The 25,098-nt window shown below is 44.9% G+C and overlaps 1 long non-coding RNA gene across 2 annotated transcripts in view, besides 1 other annotated feature; it reads right to left on the reverse strand.

Annotated features, from left to right (window-relative positions):
• Nucleotides 1-25,098, reverse strand: part of LINC00114 (long intergenic non-protein coding RNA 114) — a 34,457-nt gene that overhangs the window by 7,173 nt on the left and 2,186 nt on the right. The window contains exons 2-3 of one of the 2 annotated variants that reach the window (NR_027065.2): nt 1,204-1,267; nt 106-223 (exon numbers count right to left, since the gene is read on the reverse strand). This is a non-coding gene — a long non-coding RNA (long intergenic non-protein coding RNA 114). Of the gene's footprint in view, nt 1-105; nt 224-1,203; nt 1,268-22,651; nt 22,782-25,098 lie in introns of those variants that run through there. The other variant, NR_027066.2, reaches the window with a different exon arrangement.
• Nucleotides 20,764-20,893: an enhancer, noted in NCBI's record as "active region_18458". NCBI's record gives its function as "activates an Ori minimal core promoter by ATAC-STARR-seq in GM12878 lymphoblastoid cells {active_cell/tissue: GM12878}" and the evidence as "EXISTENCE:reporter gene assay evidence [ECO:0000049][PMID:35858748]".

A 25,098-nucleotide genomic window follows, 5' to 3' on the forward strand; every position in this document is an offset into this window, starting at 1 on the left:
AGGAGGATCACTTGAGCCCAGGAGTTCGAGATCAGCCTGGGCAATATAGTGAGACTTTGTCTCCACAAAAAAATTTAAAAATTAGCTGAGTATGGTGGCATGTACCTGTAGTCCCAGTTGCTCTGGAGGCTGAGGTGGGAGGATTGCTTGAGCCCAGGAGGTTGAAGCTGCAGTGAGCCATGATTGTGCCATTGCACTCCAGCCTGGGAGACAGAATGAGACCCTGTTTCAAAATAATAAATAAATAAATAATAAAAATAATAGTTTCCACATCCCAAGCTCCTACTATATGCCAGGCACTGTCGTAAATGTTTTATCTACGTTACCTCATTTAACCCTAATGGTGATCTTGTGAGCAGGTATATTTAATTCCACACACATGTTACAAAAGAGGAAATTGAGGCACAAAACCTTTTGGTAATGTGCTGATATGGTATGGCTCTGTGTCCCCACCCAAATCTCATCTTGAATTGTAATCCTCTTGTGTCAAGGGAGGGGCCTGGTGGGAGGTGATTGGATCATGGGGACGGTTTCCTCCATGCTGTTCTTGTGATAGTGAGTGAGTTCTCATGAGATCTGATGGTTTTTTAAAAGTGGTATTTTCTCCTTCGCTCTCTCTCTCTCTCCTGCCGCCATGTAAAACATGCCTGCTTCCCCTTTGCCTTCCACCATGATTATAAGTTTCCTGAGGCCTTCCCAGCTTTGTGGAACTGTGAGTCAATCAGACCTCTTTTCTTTCTAAATTACCCAGTCTCAGACAATCCTTTATACCAGTGTGAGACTGGACTAATACACACACCAGTGTCATACGTCCAGTACATGGCTAGGCCTGCATAGAAACCCCTCATTCCTGAACCACATGATAAGAGCTTAGATCATTTCTTTGGTAGGTGGGAAAGGTGGTCTCCAGAGCAAGGAAGCAGCACTAGTACCCCAGTTCACGACCACATTTCAAAAAGCAGTGTCATGTACTCCTGTCATCACTGTTCACTGTTAGATAATAAAGGTATGCAGTCTTTGCTTTGGTCCCATGTGCGGAAATTTCAGATGGAAGCTGAACCAGACTTAGAAACGTAGGACAAGTCACCAATGCCTAGAAAGATGCTTTAGTAGTGTACATCTCCCTCAGTTCATTCTCACATTGCTATAAAGAAATACCGGAGACTGGGTAATTTATAAAGAAAAGAGGTTTCATTGGCTCACCGTTCCACAGGCTGCACAGGAAGCATGGCAGCATCTGCTCCACTCCGGAGGAGGCCTCAGGAAACTTTCAATCACGGCAGAAGGCAAAAGGGAAGCAAGCACATCGTATGTGGCAGGGACATGTGGAGGAGAGAGGTGCTGGTAAACACTTTTGAACAACCAAATCTCGTGAGAACTCACTCACTATACAGTGCCAAAGAGGGATAGTGCTAAGCCATTCATGAGAACTCCACCCCCACGACCCATTCGCCTCCCACCAGGTCCCACCTTCAGCACTGGGGATTACAATTCAACATGAGATTTGGGTGGGGACACAGATGCAAACCATATCAACATCATAGGATGAGAAGAAGCAGCCAGGCATTTTTTGAACTACTCTTGATAAATTCTTTACAGATAAATAAAACACTTTAATGTTTGGAACGTTTCAATCACAGTGTATGAAACGAATGTTAGTTACTCCATTTCTTTTTATTTCCCTGTACTGTACATTTATAACTGACGCTAAGACAACCTTGAATGTTTGGACAAAATGGTTTAAAGGTCACAGAACACTCACAAATTTCCCGTTAATTATTAAAACTGTTTTGCCCAGTTTCAGCTTGCACCATCAGTTTTATGGCCCTGCTGTAAGGTGTAAATGCTATATTTGTTAAGTGTCTATACATGTGGAGTGTGTTCATTTCCTACAAGGCTGATCACAATGCTAGATGAAAGTGTGCCCCTCCCCTGCTCCTCAGACCCTGGTGGGTTCTGCTTCTCCATGCATTCTGGGCTGGCTTCCATCTCCAGAAGTGATTCTTCTCCTGTGCTCCCCTTCCTTACACTCCCTAGTAATGGCTTAGCTACACAGCCTTCCTGCCTCTCAGTCTCGTTCCTGCCTCCACTTCCTCCTGAAGCTCCTGAAACAAACCCAGGCTATTCCTTTTTTTTTTTTTTTTTTTTTTTTTTTTTTGAGATGGAGTCTTACTCTGTTGCCCAGGCTGGAGTGCAGTGGCGCGATCTTGACTTGCTGCAACCTCTGCCTCCCAGGTTCAAGCAATCCTCCCACCTCAGCCTCCTGAGTAACTGGAGTACAGCCACATGCCACCACGCCTGGCTAATTTTTGCATTTTTAGTAGAGATGAGGTTTCACCATGTTGGCCAGGATGGTCTCAAATTCTTGACCTCAGATGATCCGCCCCCTTCAGCCTCCCAAAGTGCTGGGATTACAGGCGTGAGCCACGTGCCCGGCTCCATGCTGTTCTTAACACCCTTCTATTCCATGACAATAAGAGCTAACGTGTCGAGTGCATGCTTGCTTGTAAGTCATTTTAGCCTCACCCTCACAAACTCTGACAAGCAGGGTGATACTAGTATCACTCCCATTTGGCAGAAGAAACTGAGGCACAGAGAAAGCAGGTCACTTGTTCAGGCCACCAGAAAGTGTCAAGGCAGGCTTCAGACCCAGGTGGCCTGGCTTCTGAACCTGCGGGCTGGACCGGCCCACCTGGGTGCCCTTCTGTGGTCCTTGCCTGCAGTCATTTTTGCTATTGGGCCCAGGGGCACAAGCTAGTCATGAGACTTCCAAAAAATATTTAAAATTGGGGAAAGGAAAAATACAGATACTCTCCAGAATATGAAAACTGCAAAAACAAAACCAATCCATTTAAGTAAGTGTGTACACAATATAATATTTATGGCATTTAAAAATAACTAAATTTGGTTTTTAAAAATTTCCATTCTATTATAAAAATAACATGACTTTGAAAGCATTCCCTAGTGTACAGGTTAATTGGCTAGACATCACAGCCAAACACAGGATAACTTACGTTTGTTTTTTTGTTTGCTTTTTTGTTTTTTGTGTGAGATGGAGTTTCGCTCTTGTCACCCAGGCTGGAGTGCAGTGGCGTGATCTCGGCTCACTGCAACCTCCGCCTCCTAGGTTCAAGGGATTCTCCTGTCTCAGCCTCCTGAGTTGCTGGGATTACAGGCACACGCCACCACGCCTGGCTAATTTTTTGTATTTTTAGTAGAGACAAGGTTTCACCATATTGGTCAGGCTGGCCTTGAACTCCTGACCTCAGGTGATCCACCCGTCTCGGCCTCCCAAAGTGTTGAGATTATAGGCGTGAGGCACCACGTCCAGCCTACTTATGTTTTTAAATAAATTGATAAAATCATTTCAAATTATTTTATGCCCAAATACATATGCATGTGATGTGAAATGTGGTTGCCTTTTCAAATGTGTGACTTGACATAGGCAGGGGTCTCAGCTTTAAGAAAAAGGGGAAACCAAGTCCTCAACATGGTCTTGTCTTTCCCTGGGCCCATAGCTCCTATGTAGATGGTCCCAGACCAATTACAACCGGATCTGCATGTCCAGCTCCTGCCGGGGACCACCCCAGCTGCACCTCTCCAGACAGCAGGGACAGGCTCGGGCACCTTGTCCAAGGCAGAAAGACATCAGAGCTAAGGCTGCCTGGATTCAAACTGTCATTCTCCTGCCGAGTAAAAAGATGACCTTGGGGGCTTACTTAACCTTGCTGATCTCAGACATGCCTGCTTCAAGGGGCTGTTTGTGAAGATTGCCTACCTGAAAGGAAGAAGGTGGGGCAAAATTAATCCAAGCAGATAATTTATTTGGCCAAGCTTGAGGATTGCAACCCGAGAGCATAGATTCAAGTTGTCCTGAATCTACAATCCAAAGAGCGCAGGTAGACGTGGATTTTTAAAAACAAGAGGCAGGGAGTTGGCTGCTACAAAGTTGTTTGCCAGGAATTCTCATTGGTGTACACGAACAACATTGAAGAGCAATTGGTTATACATGGTTAAGCTATAGGTTGTGGGTTACAGCATCCCCTGTGGCATTATTAGGTTAATCTACAGCTATCTGTGGCAATAGCAATAGTTTAAAGAGATGAACACACAGCTCAAAGTGGGAAAGTGGAGAATGGTTGCTATCTCATTTTAATGCCTCTCTGGGCCTGATAATTTGAAAGGGCTCACGTTCCTCACATGAAAGTTCTTTTCTTTCCTCTGGATTGAGTTCACACATGGCACATGGAGTATGACCTGTACATTCATTCACTCAAAACAAAAAACAAAACAAAAAAATAGCTCCAGGCAGTGACTCATGCGTGTCATCCCGTACTTTGGGAGGCCAAGGCAGGAGGATCTCTTCAGGCCAGGAGTCGGAGACCAGCCTGGACAATATAGTGAGATCTCATCTCTATTTAAAAAAAGTTTTTTTTTAATTAGCCAGGCGTGGTAGTGTGTGCCTGTGGTCCCAGCTACCTGGGATGCTGAGGTGGGAGGATCAATTGAGTCCAAGAATTTGAGGCTGCAGTGAGCTGAGATTGTACCACTGCACTCCAGCCTGGATGACCAAGCAAGATCCTGTCACAAAAACAAACAAACAAACAAACAAACAAAACTATGCAGCAGCAACTATGTGCTGGGCCCTGTTCTGGACCCTGGGATACAGCTGCAAACAAAGGTCCTGCTCTTATGGAGCTCACATCTTGTGAGGGAGAAGCAGGAGATGGAGATGTAACGTGCTCAGGGTGATGAGAGCTGAGGAAAGAAGTGAGCTGGAGAAACGGATTGGGACACGGGAAGGCATCACTGACGCGGGGTATATGAGTGACAGCTTGGATTTGTGTCCCTGCCCAAATCTCATGTGGAACTGGAAGAGGGGCCTGGTGGGAGGAGATTGGATCATGGGGGCAGATTTCCCCCGGCTGTTCTTGTGATAGTGAGTGAGTTCTCATGAGATCTGATGCTTTAAGAGTGTGTTGCGCTTCCCGGCCGGGCGTGGTGGCTCACACCTATAATCCCAGCACTTTGGGAGGCCGAGGCAGGTGGATCACGATGTCAGGAGATGGAGACCATCCTGGCCAACATGGTGAAACCCCGTCTCTACTAAAAATACAAATATAGCTGGGTGTGTTGGCGTGCACCTGTAATCCCAGCTACTCGGGAGGCTGAAGCAGGAGACTCGCTTGAACCGGGGAGGCGGAGATTGCAGTGAGCTGAGATCGCGCCACTGCGCTCCAGCCTCGCAACAGAGCGAGACTCTGTCAAAAAAAAAAAAAAGAGTGCGTGTGGCGCTTCTCTCGTTGCTCCCTCTCTCTCCTGCCACCGTGTGAAGAAGGCCCTTGCTTCCCCTTCTCCTTCCGCCATGGTTGTAAGTTTCCTGACGCCTCCCAGTCATGCTTCCCGTACAGCCTGCAGAACTGCGAGTCAATGAAATCCCTTTTCTCCACAAATTACCCAGTCTCAGGTAGTTCCTTACAGCAGCGTGGGAACAGACTCAAGAGCTGAAGCAAGCAAGGCCGTTAGCAAGGAGCGGGCTGGGGAGAGCACTCCAGGCAGAGGGAACAGCCAGGGCCAGGGCCTTGAGACAGACGTGAGCCAGGATATCTGAGGAACAGCAGAGAAGCCAGTGTGGCCGCAGCTAAATGAGGAACAATGTGTGAGTTCCCTGGGGCGGCCAAAACAAACACCACGGACGGGGGCCTTCAACCACAGACACCGATTTCCTCACAGCTCTGGAGGCGAAAAGTCCAAGAAAACTGCACGGAGTATCTATGAGGCCCTGATGGAGACCTGACCTGGTCCACACCCATGGCCTGGCAAGCTAGATGGGGTGAATTTTCACCTGCCACAGTCGCAAGTCAAAGCCACCGGCTTCTCTCTTCTCCCTCCCATTGCTCCTGACAGCCAGGGTTAATATTTTGCCTCATGTAAACAGGGAGGCATCCACCCGAGAATCTCCCCTCAGCCCACATAAGCTCTGCAGAGAGGGCTGTGTTGCTCCAGTTCCCACCTGGACATGAGCACTTTGAAGGGCAGCTTCCCTCCCGGGGTCTGGCTGAGCTCAGGGTAGGCGTCAGTCTGCATGGATTGGATGGAGGAAGGCTGTGCGTGGCAGGAGATGACACTGCCCTTGGGCTGTGTGGTTTCTCTCTGTTCCGAGCCCTGTTCCTCCACCTTAGCGGAATAGCGCCTCTCCATCCAGTTCTCATCTTTGAGAACGATTCTTGGGATGAAAGCCACGACGTTGGATATGAACAACCTGGTTGCCAAGTTGTTTGCATTTTTGCCTCCTCTCCTTTCTGAAGGGAAAAGCTGTCCTTGTGTGGGGCCACTTCAGACCCCAGTGAGCAAAAGGAGTGATGTTTAGGGGAAGGCAGGGAGAGCAGAAACTTGCATATTCCACACCTTCTGCGGCTGGGCACTGGGATGGGCCTTTCTCATGGCCGGTGGGATGGGAGAGGAGAGAGGTCTCCATCCAGCACCACTTACATCACACACATAAGCGACCTGGGGTATTAGTGGCTAGGAGTGCAGGTTCCAGATATCTCTCAGGTATAGTCTCCGCAGGATCCTGTTCCTCCCTTACCACTCATGAAGCCACTTTTCCCCCCAGGAGCCTTGGTGGCCTCCTATCTAAAGTGGGGATGGCACACAAATCCATGTCCTTGTGACGGTCCCATGAGAGAAGCAGACAGACCCTGTGCACACAAGGGCCTGCAGGGAGAAGCGCTCTACACGTGGCGACACCCTTTCCTCCCAGGATGGTCTCCTCTGCATTCCTGCTGTCATCCCAGCGTCCCACCTGATTCCCCAGGACACAGCTGACTAGAAATCAGCCCTGGACTAGAACCCACCGCCCGCCAGGGGTGGGTACGCTTTCTCGGAGGCCCCCATGGGGAGGCAAAATGGAAAACCACACCCAATACTCAACCTACAGTGGGCCACTAATTCCCAAGGCAATTCTGCTGTTTGTATCTGTGGGAGAAATGCATTTCCTTTGTTTTCGAAAAAGCAGATGGCCAGGTGTCATTGGCAGAGGGGCTGCAGTGAGGGCAGTGAGGGAGAGCAGAGGAAATGAATGGACAGTGCAGAGGACAGGCCAGGTGGCCCACAACCAGGCAGACAGCTCACGTTGCCTTTTCTGGAAATAGGGACTGCATGACCAATCTGTGCCTGTGCCTCTCTGGCACACAATGGACAATTTCGGAAAACTTCAAAAGAAAAAGCCAAGTTGATTTTGCTAAAAATGTGAAGTTTCTCTCTCTCTCTCTCTCTATCTCTTTAATGCAATGCATAGTTTATCATTTTCTTGTCTTTAGGATTAATTAAAGACAGGGCTAAATTTGTTTAAACAAGCTCTAAAATATTAAAAAAGAAGAAGAAGGCAAAGTACATAGTGTTTCCAAGTCCAGGGAACATTCTGTTCCCTGGGCTTCAGTTTATAACTGAATGTGCTTTACGTTTAGAAGACAAGCTATAGCTTGTAAAATGAATGTGGAAATAATCTAAAGTATGAGGCCTCCATTATTTATTATGTAATTGGAGAAAATTCTGGCTGGGAGAAATCTCTAGCTGAAAGCCAAGATGATCCCTACTCAATCGTTCTTAAACAAAATTAACATGTATCCATTTCTTTGATAATATTTCACTGGCAGGCAGTTCCTCTTCTAGGCTGCTATGAGCAAATTGCCAAGTTGGGTGTCACCCGTATAATCATTATCATGGGAAACCGTCAGAGTTCCTTGGGCAAGGGAATCAAAGATTTCAAGTGTTGACATTTTGTTAAGTAGGTTTTTTATAAAGTCTTACATTTAGAACTTTTCAGAACATGTCATCTCCAAAATCAGTAATCATTAAACGACGTCCAAGACCATGTTTTTGAGATCCTTCTATACTCTAAAAGCATTTTGATAATATTATTCCATAAACTGCCCCTTTTTTATTAAATGCATATCACAATCTTTTCAAACTATGAATATGGTCCTGGTTCATTCAAGAGAAAGAAGCTCTGCCCAGTGCAGTGGCTCACGCTATAATCCAATCACTTTCAGAGGCAGGAGGATCACTTGAGGCCAAGAATCGGAGACCAGCCTAGGGGGCAACAAAGTAAGACCCTATCTCTACAAAAATATTTAAAAGTTAGCCAGGGGTGGTGGCACATACCTGTGGTCCTGCCTACTCAGGAGGCTGAGGCGGGAGGATCCCTTGATTCCAGGAGTTCAAGGCTGCAGTGAGCTATGATCATAGGATTGCACTCCATCCTGGGTGACAGAGCGAGATGCTGTCTCTTAAAAAAAAGTCATTGGTGATGACTTTCTTTATTGCCTTTCATTAACAAAGTAATTTCCCCATAGATGCCTCCCTCCCGCCATCTAGGACTTGTGGAGGTCGAAAATATCATGAATGAATGTTCACTTTTATAAAATGTTCTTCCTGCACCACTTGTGCCTTGAGAAGCTCTGTGGAGTGCAGGGTCATTCTCAACTTTCTTGAGGAGGGGATGTCTCCACCCCCAACTCCACTGTAGGCACCCTCTTCCCTTAAGCTGCTTTAATTTTTTTTCACTTAATATTCACTCAACTATATTCTTTACAAGAAAATAAATTCCAAGGGGACAGGGACTTTTCTGCCTTACTTCTGTTTCCAAGCTTTTAGAAAAGCACCTGGCACATGGTAGGTGCTCAATAAATATTTGTGGTGATACTTATTAAGAAATGGAGTGACAAAAGGCACTGTGAATTCATTAACATTAAAAATATTTTGTCTTATTGCATGAAATTAATGCATACATATAAAAATGGTGGCATGTAAGTGTATGCGTTATTTAATCTCTGTTATAGGTTTCTGAACCCCTGGGAGTAACTCCAAGGATCAGAGATTGAGAACCACCTATATCAGGGGGAACAAGTACTAAATTGAAGTGCCGTAGACTGACTTGATTCTATTACAGGCTGAGCATCTTTTATTTGAAATGCTTGGGGCCAGAAGTGTTTTGGATTTCAGATTATTTTGGATTTTGGAATATTTGAATTATACTTACCAATTGAGCATCCCAAATCCAAACATCTGAAATCTAAATGTTCCAATGAACCTATCATTAAAGCATCTTGTCAGTACTCAGAAAATTTCAGATTTTGAAACATTTTGGATTTTTGGATTTGGGATGCTTAACCTGTACCTGCTAGGTAACTCTGAACAACACCACTTAATTTTCCTGAGTCTTGGTTTAATTGTGTGGCAGATGGGAGTAATAATAGCTGATTTACCTACTCGACATAGCTGAAAATAGAATGATATGTATATATGCAAATACATTTTGTAAACTACAAAGAACCATACACATATAGATTATTTTTGCTACTATAATAAAACATAGGTCTTGGGTCCGTAATCCCAGCAAAGCAGAGGACTGCTGCCTGCAGCTTTAGTCAATTTGATCACCATAGTCTATCATCACCATCATTAGAATAGAAACACTTACTCTCCCTGGGGTCTGTTGACCATCCCACGTGCGAAAAAACCCTATACAAATTTGCCCGGAATGTAGACTCCCCATTGGCCACAGTGGTAGTTTATTAGCTTCATACTGTGTGGAGTCAATGACTCATAGAAGGCACATTTTTCACCTCTTAGCCTTGGCAGCAACGACCCGTTGCTCAAAATTTGCTAACAGGCTCCCTCAGCTATTTCCTGTTGTGTTGCAGTAACACCGCTTTTTCTTTAGGCCACATTAAATTTTAAAACACATTAGAAACATTTCATCCCTGGCCTTCCTCTTCTAGTCATTGCAAAAAAAAAAAAAAAAGTGCTGTAGCAAACATGAGGATTATGATGATTGGTTAATTTCCCTCCATTTTAACCAATGAAATGTGTTCCTTATCACTATGGTTACATAACAACTAGCTCCCACAGGTGGAATCCAGCCTCACCAAAGCACCTGGGATAGTTCATCTACTCCTGCTCACTGATTATATCTAAATCACCAATAATGACCCAAATAACTTCGTATTTTTAAAAGTTATAGAGGTTATGTTATTTTTAGCCACTTCTATTGTGAAATATACTTCCCAAACAGAAAACTGTGCAAATCAGAAATGTCTAGCTCAATGAATAGCACGTAGATTTCCTTGCTCTTCTTCAGCTATACCCACCTAAGCATGACCCCTCAATACTATAGTTTACTTCTGTCTGTTTTTGTTTTGTTTTGTTTTGTTTTGTTTTTTTGAGACGGAGTCTCGCTCTGTCGCCCAGGCTGGAGTGCAGTGGCGCGATCTCGGCTCACTGCAAGCTCCGCCTCCCGGGTTCACGCCATTTTCCTGCCTCAGCCTGCCCAGTAGCTGGGACTACAGGCGCCTGCCACCACTCCCGGCTAATTTTTTTTTTGTATTTTTTAGTAGAGACGGGGTTTCACTGTGTTAGCCAGGATGGTCTCGATCTCCTGACCTCGTGATCCACCCGCCTCGGCCTCCCAAAGTGTAGGGATTACAGGCGTGAGCCACCGCGCCCAGCCCCTGTCTGTTTTTTAAAGTATATAAATGGGATTCTGTGATATGTTTTCTCTAGTATCTGGCTTGTTTTGCACGTCATTCTGTTTATGAGGTTCATTCATGTTCATGTAACTGTGGTCCAATTTCTTCACTGCAGTGAAGTTGTTTATTATATTTTAAAAAACATTTTCATGAATCCATTTCATTGTTGATGGACAGTTGGGTTTTTTCCAGTCTAAAGCTGCTATACACACTGCTGCTGTGAAGATTGCTGTACAAGTCTCGTGCTAAAAATAGGCATGCTTTTCCGCTGAGTATCTACCTAGGAGTGGAATTACTATGAAAGAAGGAATGCACATCTTCACTTTAATAGATAATACCAAACCTCTTCCTTTAGTGACTAGAACCAAATGTATGATATGAGAGAGTCTCCATCACTCTCCATTGTCACCAGCCCCTGGCATGGATATTCCCTTTAATCTTAGCCACCTTGGTGAGTGTATTTGGAATCTCAATGTTTTTAATTTGCACTTTTCTGATTACTTAAGAGTCTGGGCCCCTTTCCCTATATTTATTGACCATTTGAATATTGTTCTTTGCCAGGTATCTTCAAGTGTCATCCATTTCTGTCTTTTATTTTATTTTATTTATTTATGAATTGGGATCTCACTCTGTTGCCCAGGCTGGACCGCAGTGAAGCTCACTGCAACCTTAAACTCCAAGTGATCTTCCCTCCTCAGCCTACAGGCATGAGCCTTCATGCCTGGCTATTTGTAAAATTATTATTTTTTGTAGAGATGGGGGTCTTGCTATATTGCCCAGGCTTGTCTTGAACTCCCAGCTTCAAGCAATCCTCTCAGCTTGGCCTCTCAAAACGCTGGGACTACAGACCATTTTTCTTTTTAAAATATTATTTGGGGAGATTTATTTATTTATTTATTTATTTATTTATTTATTTATTTATGAGATGGAGTCTTGCTCTTTCACCCAGGCTGGAGTCCAGTGGCGCGATCTCAGCTCACTGCAAGCTCCACCTCCCAGGTTCACGCCATTCTCCTGCCTCAGCCTCCCGAGTAGCTGGGATTACAAGCTTGCACCACCACACCAGACTAAAACATACAATATACTGATTTCCATTTCCTTGGAAAGATTGTTGCTGGGACTATTTCTTATTAACTAGTTGCGTTTCCTGTTTTGGTTTTTTTGTTGTTGTTGTTTAGGATTTTTAGTGTTTCCTTTTATTATGTTTTGAGACGAGGTCTTGCTCTGTTACCTAGACTAGAGTGCAATAGCATGATCACAGCTCACTGCAGCCTCAACCTCCCAGGCTCAAGTGATCCTCCCACCTTAGCCTCCCGAGTAGCTGGGACCACAGGGTAAAGTAAAAGGTAAAGACTGACCAGGAAAGGGGATGGGAGTGGGGAGAAAAAACATATTAAACTGAATTATACCTTCCACCTTACCTTGTATTATGATCAAAAGAAATCCCTCTGCTGTCCTTTCCTCCTGACACTCTTCCCACAGGCATGCACCATCATGCCTGGCTAATTCTGTAAATTTTTTGTAGAAGCAGGGGTCCCACTATGTTGCCCAGGCTGGTATCGAACTCCTGTGCTCAAGTGAAGTGTTTTCAAAATGACATATTTCTATATCTTACAATTTTCCTGAGTTTTGGTGTTAATTAAATGTACAATTAAATCTTTTGGTTTTTAAAAATATAGATAACATCTTCCACTGTTTAATTCTATACTGTTTTTTAAAAAGAAAACCTGAAGAGTGCAAACCTGTAGAGTAAGAAAAGGGGAGGAATGAAATTTATCTTACTCCTCCTGCCAGATGCAGTTTGGTACATCTTAACACTAAATGCTCATTTTACTGAATTCTCACTTTAAGAATGTTCCATTATATTTTAAACTCTTTATAGGCATATTGATTTTGTGCTGAAAGAGATTAAACAGCCCTCAAGAGTTTCAAGCAAATTCTCTTAGTCAGTAAATGCATTTCCTCTTTCATTCATGTCCCAATGCCCAGTCAACATTTTTTGTGTGCCTGTATCACTTAACCAACAAAGATTTTGGAAACAATCTTTGGATAATACAATATTTGATTTCTCATAATGTGACCTGAAGATCCACATGATTTTGTTTTTTTGTCAGCCCATGCCACCCCATGGTTTGGAGGAACCAAACCCCCAGCCTTTTGAGGGGTGAGACTCCTGGAATTTTCGTCCCGTGCCTTCGTGGGGATTTCTCCTGTATTTAGTATTTGTTCACCCGACACAGACTTGCAGAGCCTAATGCATTCCAGACACTGCGCTGAGTGCCAGGAATAAAGAAACATCTGTACCTGGTACAGTCTGGCTGGGGCAAGAAACCACCAACATGATAAGCAAATGAATGTATAATGTAACAGAACATGGGTTGTGCCCTGAAGAAAAATAAAGACTGACCAGGAAAGGGGATGGGAGTGGGGAGAAAAACCATATTAAACTGAATTATACCTTCCACCTTACCTTGTATTATGATCAAAAGAAATCCCTCTGCTGTCCTTTCCTCCTGACACTCTTCCCACACACACACATGCACACACACACGCACATCTGTAAACCCCTGACAACAGTGGTGACGTCTATCTCACCTTTGTGCACCCCCAAAGCTGAACACAGCTATGCATGACTGACACAATTTTGTTAAACCAAAGAAAATCTTTTCATGATGTCTCCATTAATTTCATGTGGCCAACCAGCCATTCCTGGAAGTTTCTTGAACTCTCTGGAGATCCCTTCTGCCTTTAGGCATCTTCTGTCTACTCAGCGAGTAGTTCCTGGGGCTTTCCTAATGGCATTTCTGCTTATCCGATATCTGCTGGATGTCGTTCAGAAAAATGACATTGGAGGCTGAGGCCTCAAACTTTAGCTCCATATTCTTGGTCAGGTTTCAGATTTTCACTTAAACACAGCCCTGTCTGCGATGCCAACAGACTTTAGCTCAATTTATTATCAGAGGGCGATCTGGCACTCCCATACAGCTCCGCAAATGCCTCTGACTATCTAATAACTCATCATTAAACACCACATTCCCTGAGAGGCTGTGGAGACCAGGCAGGGAGGGCCTCTCCCTTCTGAAAAAAGGAGCCCCTTCCAGGGCTCACAACAAAATGTCAAGTTTGGCAAAAGATAAAAATAGAAGTCTTTGTTTCACACTTGCAAAAAGGCTCAAACTTTCACGTGTGCTTCTGTTTATATTAAATAAAAAGCCCATTTTTCTTGGGATAAAAGCATCTTAAGAAGAGTTGTAGGGAGAAGAGACTAGGTCCTTTCTTAACCGGAATTCAACTGATTAGACCCTGGCCAGACTCTCCAGTCAGACCCAGAAAGAGAAAACAGTGCCAATCCGAATGATTCAGCTCAATCCGTTCAAAACAACAAATCATGAAATGGCATCATGGACAGGCATGTTACGATAAGACTCTGCTAACGTGGCTTTTGCTGCAAAGTGGGAAATGGTTCTGGGAACTTACAGCTTTAATAAGATCAAACAATGCATCAAATGGAGGTCTGAGTTGGAGATCTGGGCTTCGACCTGCAGAAATAAGAATTGAGGCCTGTTGGGTGCTTCGCTGCTGGCAGTGCTCTCTCACGTGCCCTTTCCAGCTGGCTCTCACCTGATTCTCAGACACCTCTGAGAGCTAGGTGGTGTTCTCGTGTACATGTTAGAGATGAGGAAACCCAATCTCTGACAGCTGTCTATCCACCTGTTTGGAAGGGGCTGAACTGTGTTCCCCCCAAGCTCATCTGTTGAAGCTTTAACCCCCAGTACTTCAAAGCATGTCTTTATTCAGAGATAGTCTTTCAAGAGATAATTAAGATGCAGTGAAGTCATTAGCGTGGGCCCTAATCCGATCTGACTGGTGTCCTAACAGGAAGAGGAGATTAGAACACAGACATGACCATGTAAGGACACAGGGAGAAGGCGGCCGTCTGTAAGCCAAGGAGGGAGGCTCAGAAGGAACGAACCCTGCTCACACCTGGATCCCAGACTTCTAGCTTCCAGGACGGAGAAAATAAATGTTGTTGAAGCCGCCTACCCTATGGTACTTTATTATGGAAGCCCTAGCACACTAATACATTAAGGTAAGTTCTCTGAGGGCAGAATGGGGCTTTTGCTATTTCGATGAAAGTTCTTCGGATTCTGCAAAGCTGACCTCATATTCTGTGATGATTTTGGTAGAAGGCACACAGGCCACCTGCTCACTCCCTGCTCCTCTCATTCCTCCTCACTTTCCCTCCTATTTTCATCATCTTCCCTCTCCCTTTCTCCTTCTTTCACTCCAGGGGGATATGTTTGCCAACCATCTGCAAAGTGCCTACTGTGTTTCACGTAAACGCTTTTAATTTACGTAACTCATGCTATTTATCTCGTCATGATTTGACTCTTTTCCTTTTGGATAGTTTTCAAGATCAATCCTTGTTGCAAGATGAATATTTAACCTGTTACTTTTTTTTTTGGAGACAAGGTCTCGCTCTGTCGCTCAGGCAGGATTGCAGTGGCATGAACACAGCTCACTGCAGCCTCAAACTCCTGGGCTCAGGTGATCCTCCCACCTCAGCCTCGCGAGTAGCTGGGACTACAGGCATGCACCACCTCACACAGCTAATTTTATTTATTTTTCTAATAGAGATGGGGTCTTGCTATGTTGCCCAGGCTGGTCTTGAACTCCTGGCCTCAAGCAATTCTCCCACCTCAGTCTCCCAAAGAACTGGGATTACAGGTGTGGGCCACCACGCCTGGCCTAACCTGTAACTTCTAATTGACACCTCAACATTTCCGAAAATGCCTTTATTCTGCCTGTGCACTGGATTGATAGTTTCTATAGGTGTAGAAGCCCAGGTCGAAAACCACCTTCCTGCAGAAAGCCCCATCCTCTTGTCATTCCCAGAGCGGCTGCAGGGAAAGCTACAGCCATTCTGAGTCCTGAGTCTTCATGTGTTGCCTTTTTTCTTCTCCCTGGAAGCTTGTAAAATCTTCTTCCTGTCCTCACTGCTCTGAAATTGCACAGCAACGAGGCTTCGTGTAGGTCTATTTTTATCTCTTGTACTAGGCCCTTTAGACCTGCAAGCTGGTGTTATTCATTTCTGGAAAAGTTTCTTGAATTGTATTTTAAAGACTTACCAGCTTCTCTGTTCTCTCCTCCTGGAATTCATCTGGAAGCTGCATTTCCTGGTCTGGGCCTCCAATTTCATACATTCTCTCCCTTTTCTTCTCTCTTTTCACTTTGCTCTATTTTCTAATACAATTTTCCAGCCATGCCTTCTAATCCTTGTACTGGGTCTTTCATTTTGGCTATCATGTGACTTTCCCCAAGCTTGCCCAGTGCTTGTTATTTTCCAAATGTTGCTTTTTTATGGTCTCTCACTTTTTTTTTTTTTCTTTTGAGACAGAGTCTTGCTCTGTCGCCCAGGCTGGAGTGCAGTGGCGCGATCTCGCTCACTGCGAGCTCCGCCTCCCGGGTTCACGCCATTCTCCTGCCTCAGCCTCCTGAGTAGCTGGGACTACAGGCGCCCACCACCACGCCCGGCTAATTTTTTGTATTTTTAGTAGAGACGGGTTTCACCGTGTTAGCTAGGATGGTCTCGATCTCCTGTATGGTCTCTCATTCTTGATGCATAGAAGAAAACTCATCTCATCTCTCTAAAGGTGTTAACAGTAGGTGTAGTCTTGGTTTCCTCCAGGTTTCTTTTGACTTTTATTTTTACTGAGATACAGTTCACATAAGATGAAATTTGGCCTTCTTAAGGATATTCACACAGCTGTGCAACCACCACTATCATTTATCCCAGCCTATTTTTATCACCTTAATAAGAAGCTCCATACCTGTTAATATTCATCCCCCATCTCCACCTCTCCCCAGCCCCTGGGAAGCACTAATCCATTTTTCCATGTCTATAGATTTGTCTATTCTGGAAATTTCATATAAATGACATAATACAACTTCTGGTCTTTTTTTTTTTTTTTAAGATGGAATGTTGCTCTTGTTGCCCAGACTGGAGTACAGTGGCGTGGTCTCAGCTCACTGCAGCCTCCACCTCCTGGGTTCAAGCAATTCTCCTGCCTCAGCCTCCTGAGTAGCTGGGATTACAGGCATCCATTACCATGCCCGCCTAATTTTTTGTATTTTTAGTAGAGATGGGGTCTCACCATGTTGGCCAGGCTGGTCTCAAACTCCTGGCCTCAGGTGATCCGCCCGCCTCAGCCTCCCAAAGTGCTGGGATTACAGGCATGAGCCACTGCGCCTAGCCAATTTCTGGTCTTTTGTGTCTGGCCTTCTTCACTTAGTATAGTGTTTTCAAGGTTCATCCATGTTGTAGCCTGTGTCAGTACTTCATTCCTTTTTAAGGCTGAATAATGGTCCATGGTACGAAGAGACCACATGTTGCTTATTCATGCATCTCTGGACAGACGCCTGGGTTGTTTTCCACCTGTTGGCTGTTGTGGATCGTGCTGCTGTGAACACGGGCGCACAAACTCAATGCGGATTTGACTTGTGCTTCCCTGGTAGCTAATGGTAACAATACTCAATATCTTTTCACGGGCTTATTAGCCCAAATTGTTTTATAACTTTTTCATGTGCTTTTACCTTTCACATTTGTTACCTCCAGCAGGTCCTTAGTGGTCAGCCAGTCCTTGGCTGCTTTGCTGTCCATTTTTTTTAAGTTGTCAAAATGGTTTTTTTCTTTTTTAATTTTTTAAAATTATACTTTGAGTTCTGGGATACATGTGCAGAATGTGCAGGTTTGTTATGTAGTTAAACACATGCCATGGTGGTTTTCTGCACCCATCAACCCGTCATCTACATTAGGTATTTCTCCTAATGCTATCCCTCCCCTAGACTCCCACCCCCCAACACACCCCAGTGTGTGATGTTCCCCTCCCTGTGCCCATGTGTTCTCATTGTTCAACTCCCACTTATGAGTGAGAATATGCGGTGTTTGGTTTTCTGAAGCCATCATTCTCAGCAAATTAACATTTTTTTCTCTTTTCTTGAGAAAGAGTCTCGCTGTGTTGCCCAGGATGGAGTGCAGTGGCATAATTTCTGATCACCACAACCTCCATCTCCCAGGTTCAAGTGATTCTGGTGCCTCAGCCTCCTGTGTTATCTAGGACTACAGGCGTGCGCCACCACACCCTGCTAACTTTTATATTTTTAGTAAAGAGTGGGTTTTGCCATGTCGGCCAGGCTGGTCTCAAACTCCTGACCTCAAGTGATCCACCCACCTTGGCCTCCCAAAGTGCTGGGATTACTGGTGAGAGTCACCATGCCCAGCCTGTCTGTTCATTTTTAATCTGGGGAAACCCAAAAGCAGATTTAGGCATTTGCACAGGGGCCCATCCACCAAGAGCTCCCCTGTAGCATGCTCTGCCTGAACCATTTATTAGGAGACTCCTGATGTAATTTTTTTTTTCTGGACCAGAGAAGATCCTTCCAGTCTGCAGCCTGGAAGGTAAATGTCTAGTTGCCATCTTAGGGAGCTCAGGGGCTCTGCATTCTGCTGTGTGTCTGCTTCCTCAACGCCCTGTTTTCTGTATAGTCCCACCTGCCATTGTGCCTGTGGTCCTCCATGCCAGCAACTGCAGTTACAGCTTCTCCAAAGAATAAATCCCCAAGTTCAGCCAGGGAAAATTAGGAGCGGGCATCCAGGGATCCAACTGCCTCCCAAACAACCTTTTTTTTTTTTTTTGAGGCGGAGTCTTACTCCGTCGCCCAGGCTGGAGTGCACTGGCGCAATCTCGGCTCACTGCAAGCTCTGCCTCCTGGGTTCATGCCATTCTCCTGCCTCAGCCTCCCCAGTAGCTGGGACTACAGGCGCCCGCCACCATGCCTGGCTAATTTTTTGTATTTTTTAGTAAAGATGGGGTTTCACCATGTTAGCCAGGATGGTCTCAATCTCCTGACCTCATGATCCACCCGTCTCGGCCTCCCAAAGTGCTGGGATTACAGGTGTGAGCCACTGCACCCGGCCCCCAAACAACTTTCATCCCGTCCTCCTTCCTTAGGCCTCCTCCACTCCCATTTCTGGAGGCACTGGGTCCTGAACATCAATGTTCTGTCGTGCAAATCAGGCAATTTCTGCACAGCTAGTGTAGGATTTGGCTTTCTTAAATTGGCCAAGCCCAGCTCCACTATCCACCTGCACTCCAGCCTCTAAAATCTGCACCCTGTTCTCTCTTCTCCTGGTCTTCCCATCTATCCTTGGGGATTTACAACTTTAAAAAATAATCTCTTTATTGAAGATAGTCGAGTTCCCTCTTCACCACGTTTACCTAGGAGCCTTCCTAGTGATGTCTTTAATTTTCACATTGCATTCCATGTTTTACAACGATTGTCTCATGAGACAATCCTCATGAGAACCTCTGGGGAAGATGCTGTAGTCACCTCCCAGTGAAGAGGAAATTGAAACTCACAAAGTTTCAGGGAGGCATCCGCATCTGCACATGGCAATGTGGAGCTGGGACTTCAGCCCAGATGTCTGACTGCGGAGCCTGCACTAGTCCTGAACTAAACGGTGCAGTCATTGCCAGTTACTTCATGGCTAGGCTTTGCCACAGTGGCTCAGTGAAACCAGCACTTCCTCGTGCAGGGAGAGGAGGACCTGCAATGTCCAGGGTACCATGCTGATGGGCAGTGGGAAGCTGTGCCCAGTGACAGCCCTGGTCATCAGAGATAAGAGGGGACGAATGGCAGTGCAGAATTGGAAGGATGTCTTGAGCCAGCACTGTGCCAAGGCACTTAAACAGGACATGGGTAAGGGTGGGAGCATCCTCCTCCTCATGGGGGTCTGCTCAGCTCCAATGGGGGCAATAGAGAACTGCAGCTATTTGAGCATTGATGAGTACTGCTCTTGAAGATTCTGTGACTTCTATTATAACAATTTTCAATCTCTATTCCATTGAAATGCCCTCCCTACAACAATTCATAGCCAAATTGCTTCCAGAGATAATTGGTGGAGATCACAGGTTGCTAGATTGATAGCCTTTGTTAATGAATCCAGGAATCATGAAGTTTCACCTTGGAAGGGACCTGGAGACCTTCTAGACCAACATGTTTCTCTTGGGGAAACTCAGAGAGGCCAAAGGCCAGACTCAAGGTGCAAGGCTGGTAAGCAGCAGCTTTGGAACCATTTTTGTGGGGAGAGCAGGAAGATGTGGGGGAAAGATGGCTCAGGAGCCTGGAGGGGGCTTGGGGAAGGGGCCCACGAAATGCCAGCTCATGGGGCTGAGTAGGAAACCTTGCAAAGGACTAAGATCTCTCCGAAACTCCACATCTAGAGCCAATCAGGAAGATGCAGCAATGGCCACTGTGAGAAAAGGAAACCTGCAGAGGACATCTGTTATCGATATTTTGAAGCCCTAACTTCTGGGACCTCAGAATGTGACCTTATTTGGAAATTGGAAATAGAATCCTTGCCAGTGAAATTACTTAAGTTGAGGTCATATGAGAAAGGGTGGGCCCTTCATCCAAGAAGATTGGTGTCTTTATAAGAAGAGAAGAAGGGACACCGACATAAAGGGAAGAGGACAGCCACGTATGTGATGATGCAGACAGAGACTAGAGGGATGAGTCTGCAAGCCAAGGAATGCAAGGATGGCTGGCAACACCAGACGCTCAAAAGAGATAAGAAAGGATCCTTCCCTACAGTCTTCAGAAGGAGCAAGGCCCTGCTAACATGTTGATCTTGGACTTCTGGCTTCCAGAACCATAAGGGGGTTCTGGTGGTTTATGGTGCTTTGTTGCACCACCTGGTTTATGGTGCTTTGTTGCAGCAGCCCTTGGAAAGGTAATTGAATGTCCCGTGAGGTGTCATGAGGGTGTGACCTGGAATTAGCTCTGCTGCTCTGCATGGCATCACTTTTTTTGTCCTTAGTTTGATTCCCCTTATTAAAAGTAGCTGGAGGCCGGGTGCAGTGGCTCACATCTGTAATCCCAGCAGTTCAGGAGGCCGATGCAGGTGGATGGCTTGAGGCCAGGAGTTCAAGACTAGCCTGAGCAACATGGAGAAACCCTGTGTCTACAAAAAAAAATATGTATATATATACAAAAATTAGCTGGGCATGGTGGCACACACCTATAGTCCCAGCTACTCAGGAGGCTGAAGTGGGAGGATTGCTTGAGCCTAGAAGGTAAAGGCTGCAGTGAGTTGAGATCGCACCACTGCACTCCAGCCTGGGCAACAGAGTGAGAACCTGTCTCAAAAACAAAACAAAACAAAACAAAAAAAAAACAAAGAGTAATTGCTTTTAAACCCAAAGCTAGGTGATAGTGAGTGTTTGTGTGCTAACTTCCGGTGAGCACTCACATGCCTATCTCGCTGGAGTCCTATGTTCCCAGGCTTGCATCTGTCTGCCTGTTCCCCCTACGTCTCCACCCACAGAGGTAGCCGCGGCTCTGCAGCTCTGGAGCCTCAGGGCTGGAAGCAGGTGAGGGGAGGCCTTTGTTGATCCTGCTCAACCAATGCCCCCGCTGCCACATAGAAGAAACGGTGGACGTGTTTAGAAAATGATACCAAGTTTACCCCTGAAACGCAATTGCATATCCTGTGCAGGCTGAGTGAGGCAAGGTGAAACTATTGACTGGTATCACTTGAGATAGAGCCAACTGTTCAAACTGAAACTGAAAGACAGCGTGGTCCCTCTGAGGAAAAAAGGGCAGAAGTAAAAGCACGAAATTGTCACTTGTGTAGTGGCAAACAAAAAAGAAAGAGAAAATAGGTTTCACTTATTTAAATTATAAAAGTAGTTAGTATGTGCTGATTCAAAAAACTTAAAAGATACAGAAGTGTATAAGATAGAAACAGAACTGCGTCTGCCTCCACCTCCTCCCCTGCCCACAAGCCAGCCCTCCACTTTCAGACTCCACAGAAGCAACTGTTTTAATGCGTGGTAAACATATTTAGAAGAACTTTCTCTGCTGTGCATAAAAGCATGCTCTAACATCATTTGGTTTCACTTCATTTTATTTTAAAACCACAGTATTCAATGACTTGCTTTTCTACTCACTAGTATATTATGGGCAACTTTTCATAGCAATGAATACAGATTTATCTCAGAACGTAATCTTGAATCAATTTCAGAATAACTCTGTGGGATACATGGGTGATTATAAATTCACAACGTGCCTTGGGGGAATATACCACCTGTTTCTATGGACGCAATTTGCAGTACATTAATTCGGCACACCACAAAGGCTGGACAGTTATCAATAGATTGGGTCAAGAAGAGAAGTATACAAAACATTCAGCTAGCTTTAAAGCTAAGGTTTGTCACCACAAATCTATGAAGTGTCTCTTCCGTGAGTTGGAGAAAGTGATTATTAGAGAAGCCTCAATAAAGGTCAACAGTTACAGATGATTTGAAATTTTGCCAACGTAGAAAACAGTTGGAAAACCATTGGAAATTATATTTTTTATCTTGAGTCAAGTAGGAAATAAACTTAATTTACATAGTGTAAGAATGGTTGATATACAATGTAATCCTAAATCTTAAAATTGCTGGAGATAAATCACAAAGAAAACCAAAAAGATCCAAAAAAAAAAAAGGAGTTAAAAGAGAAGATTTCATCTTCTTTCAGAGGATAAACAATCTCAAGATTCCATAATTCTTTGAATGTCTCAGAAAAACAAAATTCGTTCAAGCTACTTCAGATATTTGGAAGAACAAAATTAATTTTCCCCACCCAGATGAATCATTCTATCAGAGGTTCTCAACTGGGGGCGATTTTGCCCCCCACCCCCGGGGGACATTTGACAATGTCTGGAAACATCTTTGATTGTCACCACTGGGGGCAAACGGTGGGAGGATGTGCTGCTAGTCTTAGTAGGTGGAGGCCAGGGATGCTGCTCAACATCCTACAACGCACGGGACGACCCCCGCCACGGAGAATGATCCGGCCTCAAATGCCAACAGTGCTGAGGCCGAGAAACTCTATGTGATACTTTCCTAAAGGGACTGCTTTCTGTTTCATTCTCTTATTTAATCAACTTCACAAACACATCAGAAACATAGGTCACATCCTTTTCTTGTGAATCTAAACCAGTCTAGCTTAAAACACCCTAACCTTCCTCCAAAACAAAATAGAAGTGAACATTTTGTATGAGAGTGACTCACATGTAAAACTATGACGTGAGGATAAACAGTAATGCCCGAAACATACAGCAGGCCTTCCAGGCAGGCAAGAGATGACTTCAGACATTGGAGGGTAGGTCACGTCTCACGCAACAAATCCAGAAACCATCCTGCAACTCACAAGAAATCTGCTTGTAGCTTGAAAAGGATTCTGAGCCAGGAGAACAAGGTTAAAATTATTTCCAACATAAAGGAAAGGAACAGGAACTTAGCCTCTTACGTGCTTAATCACCTAATAAGACACACACACACTCGCACACAAATCACACACACACATACACACACACACACTTAAAATACTTATTTTGGATTCTTGTGAATAAAATCCAGCTCAAGTCTATGGGAAAAAAAAATCATGGCCAGAAAAGTCTTTCCATTTTCACTGGGTACCAGCCAATAAATCTTAGCCTCTGATGCTCTACTGAATTCAGCTTCTCACTTTCCTACCCTGCTCCCATCCCACCCCCACACCGAATCAGCGCCAGCTCTGGATTTTACACTCGTAAGCTCAGCTCAGGCCCTGGTAGAGGTGGAGCATCTCATTGCCTTATTCATACCTGCTTTGAAAGATATCCTTGTCTTACTCAGTTGGAAGCTCTATAAGCCCCCCATTAAGGCCAAAGAATGTGAAACATCACAAACAGCACAGCATCATGTACATAAACTGTTTATTTAAGAGCGGGCAGTCATAGACTGTGGGTGATCCGGGAGATGCATCAGTAGATTTCCTGTGGCCTCAGAAAAATCCACGCAGTAACCGCAACAGAGAGATGACAAAGAGTCGGTTGCAGGAGGCCTCTGCCCAGGGAGGGTGGCCACCTACCCTGTGCAGTTCAGGCAGAGCACAAAGGCTCCTCCCAGGGCCCTGGGGAAGGCTGAATCCAGCCTGCCCCTGGCTTACCTAGCTTGGCCCCGGGCAGAGCACTTTTCCTCCACCCCTCACAGAGGCGCAGGTTACTTGTACCAGCCCGATGCAAATGCTTTGGTGAATGGGCTACCCTAAAACAGAGGATGATGAAGAACGATGGCCATTCCCAGAGTATAATGAGGGATTCCCTTTAAGTGAGCTTTGCTCTGCCCTCTGCGTTTTCATTAGAAACCAGAAAACTGCTGAGCCTAATTTGTGTTTAAGCCATCATAAACTAAATAATCAGTTCCTATTAATGACCCTAATTATTCAGCTCCTATTTTTAAATGCTGGTCTTTCAGCATGCTCTATGTGGGTGGTTTTAATTAAGCCTAATTGTAGATACGTCACATCCAAACAGACACCCTACTCAAATGATTAATAGAGCTTGGAATCTAGTTCACTAAATAGGGGTTTGCAATGGGATGATGGTGTCTATCAAGCTGAAACGTATCATATAAATTATTTCTCTGATAACTCTAATGGCAGAGAGAATTGTTTATTAGAGTCATTTAGGATTAGAGCCACCACTGGTCTCAGAAGCTACATTCTCAGAGCAGTTGTCAAGTTTGCTGAAAGATTGTTTTCTTAAATTAGCTCTAAGTTGGAATGTACTGGTTTTTCTTTTGCATTTATATTCCCAGAGGCCTTCTTCTTTAAAAGTGTCTTCTGACATGGCAAAATAACTATCATTTAAGAAGCACTAATCTTAACTAAAAACAAACAAACAACTCACCTTCAATGTAAAGACCGATTGCTCCTCTTTAGCCCTTCCCTAGAAATCAGCTTTTGATCACTGACCAAGCACTCTCAAGCTTCCGATTCCCCTAAATCTCACCTGATTTTCCAACACCTCCGAGAGCTTGACATTGCCACTTTTTACACATGAGAGGTGAGGATATCGAACCTCTGAAAGGTTATCTGATCAGCCTGGGATCTCCTGGGGCAGAGCTGGGCTTAAGAATCACCTGCTTGAGATTTCACCTGCAATTGCCTGACCCATGGGGCTGTGACTTCTTGGATTAAAGCATCATCCATGCACCTTGTCACTCTACATGGGCAGAGCAAGCCAACCTAGAAACCAATCAGGAGCCACCATAACAAACACAGCCGTGACTCAGCTCTCCACCTGCACACCTCCACCTGCCCATCAGTCCACATTGGACACTTAACACCCACAAAGGATTTGAAATTTTCCCAACGGCCTCTCACAGGACACATAAAAGCAAACACAAGCTGTCCTCAGTGCTGTGCTACAGAATACGTTATCCATTGGTTGATCACACAGATCCAGTGAAATATTGTCAGGGAGTTCATTTGAAAACTGTTGTTGCCATGATGTGCTTGTAGTGCCGTCTGTCAGAGCAGATATTGACCCATTCAAATCCAGCGGCATAAGACAAATGACCAATAGAGACAGTCGTTTCCAGGGTAGGGTCTCTATTATTTTTAGCAAATTTTTCCCTGTAGGGTTATGTTTCGGATGCTTCAATGGGCAGATTAAGATGTACTGTGACAGTGA

Source organism: Homo sapiens, chromosome 21 (assembly GCF_000001405.40).
Source record: "Homo sapiens chromosome 21, GRCh38.p14 Primary Assembly".
Lineage (NCBI taxonomy): Eukaryota > Metazoa > Chordata > Mammalia > Primates > Hominidae > Homo > Homo sapiens.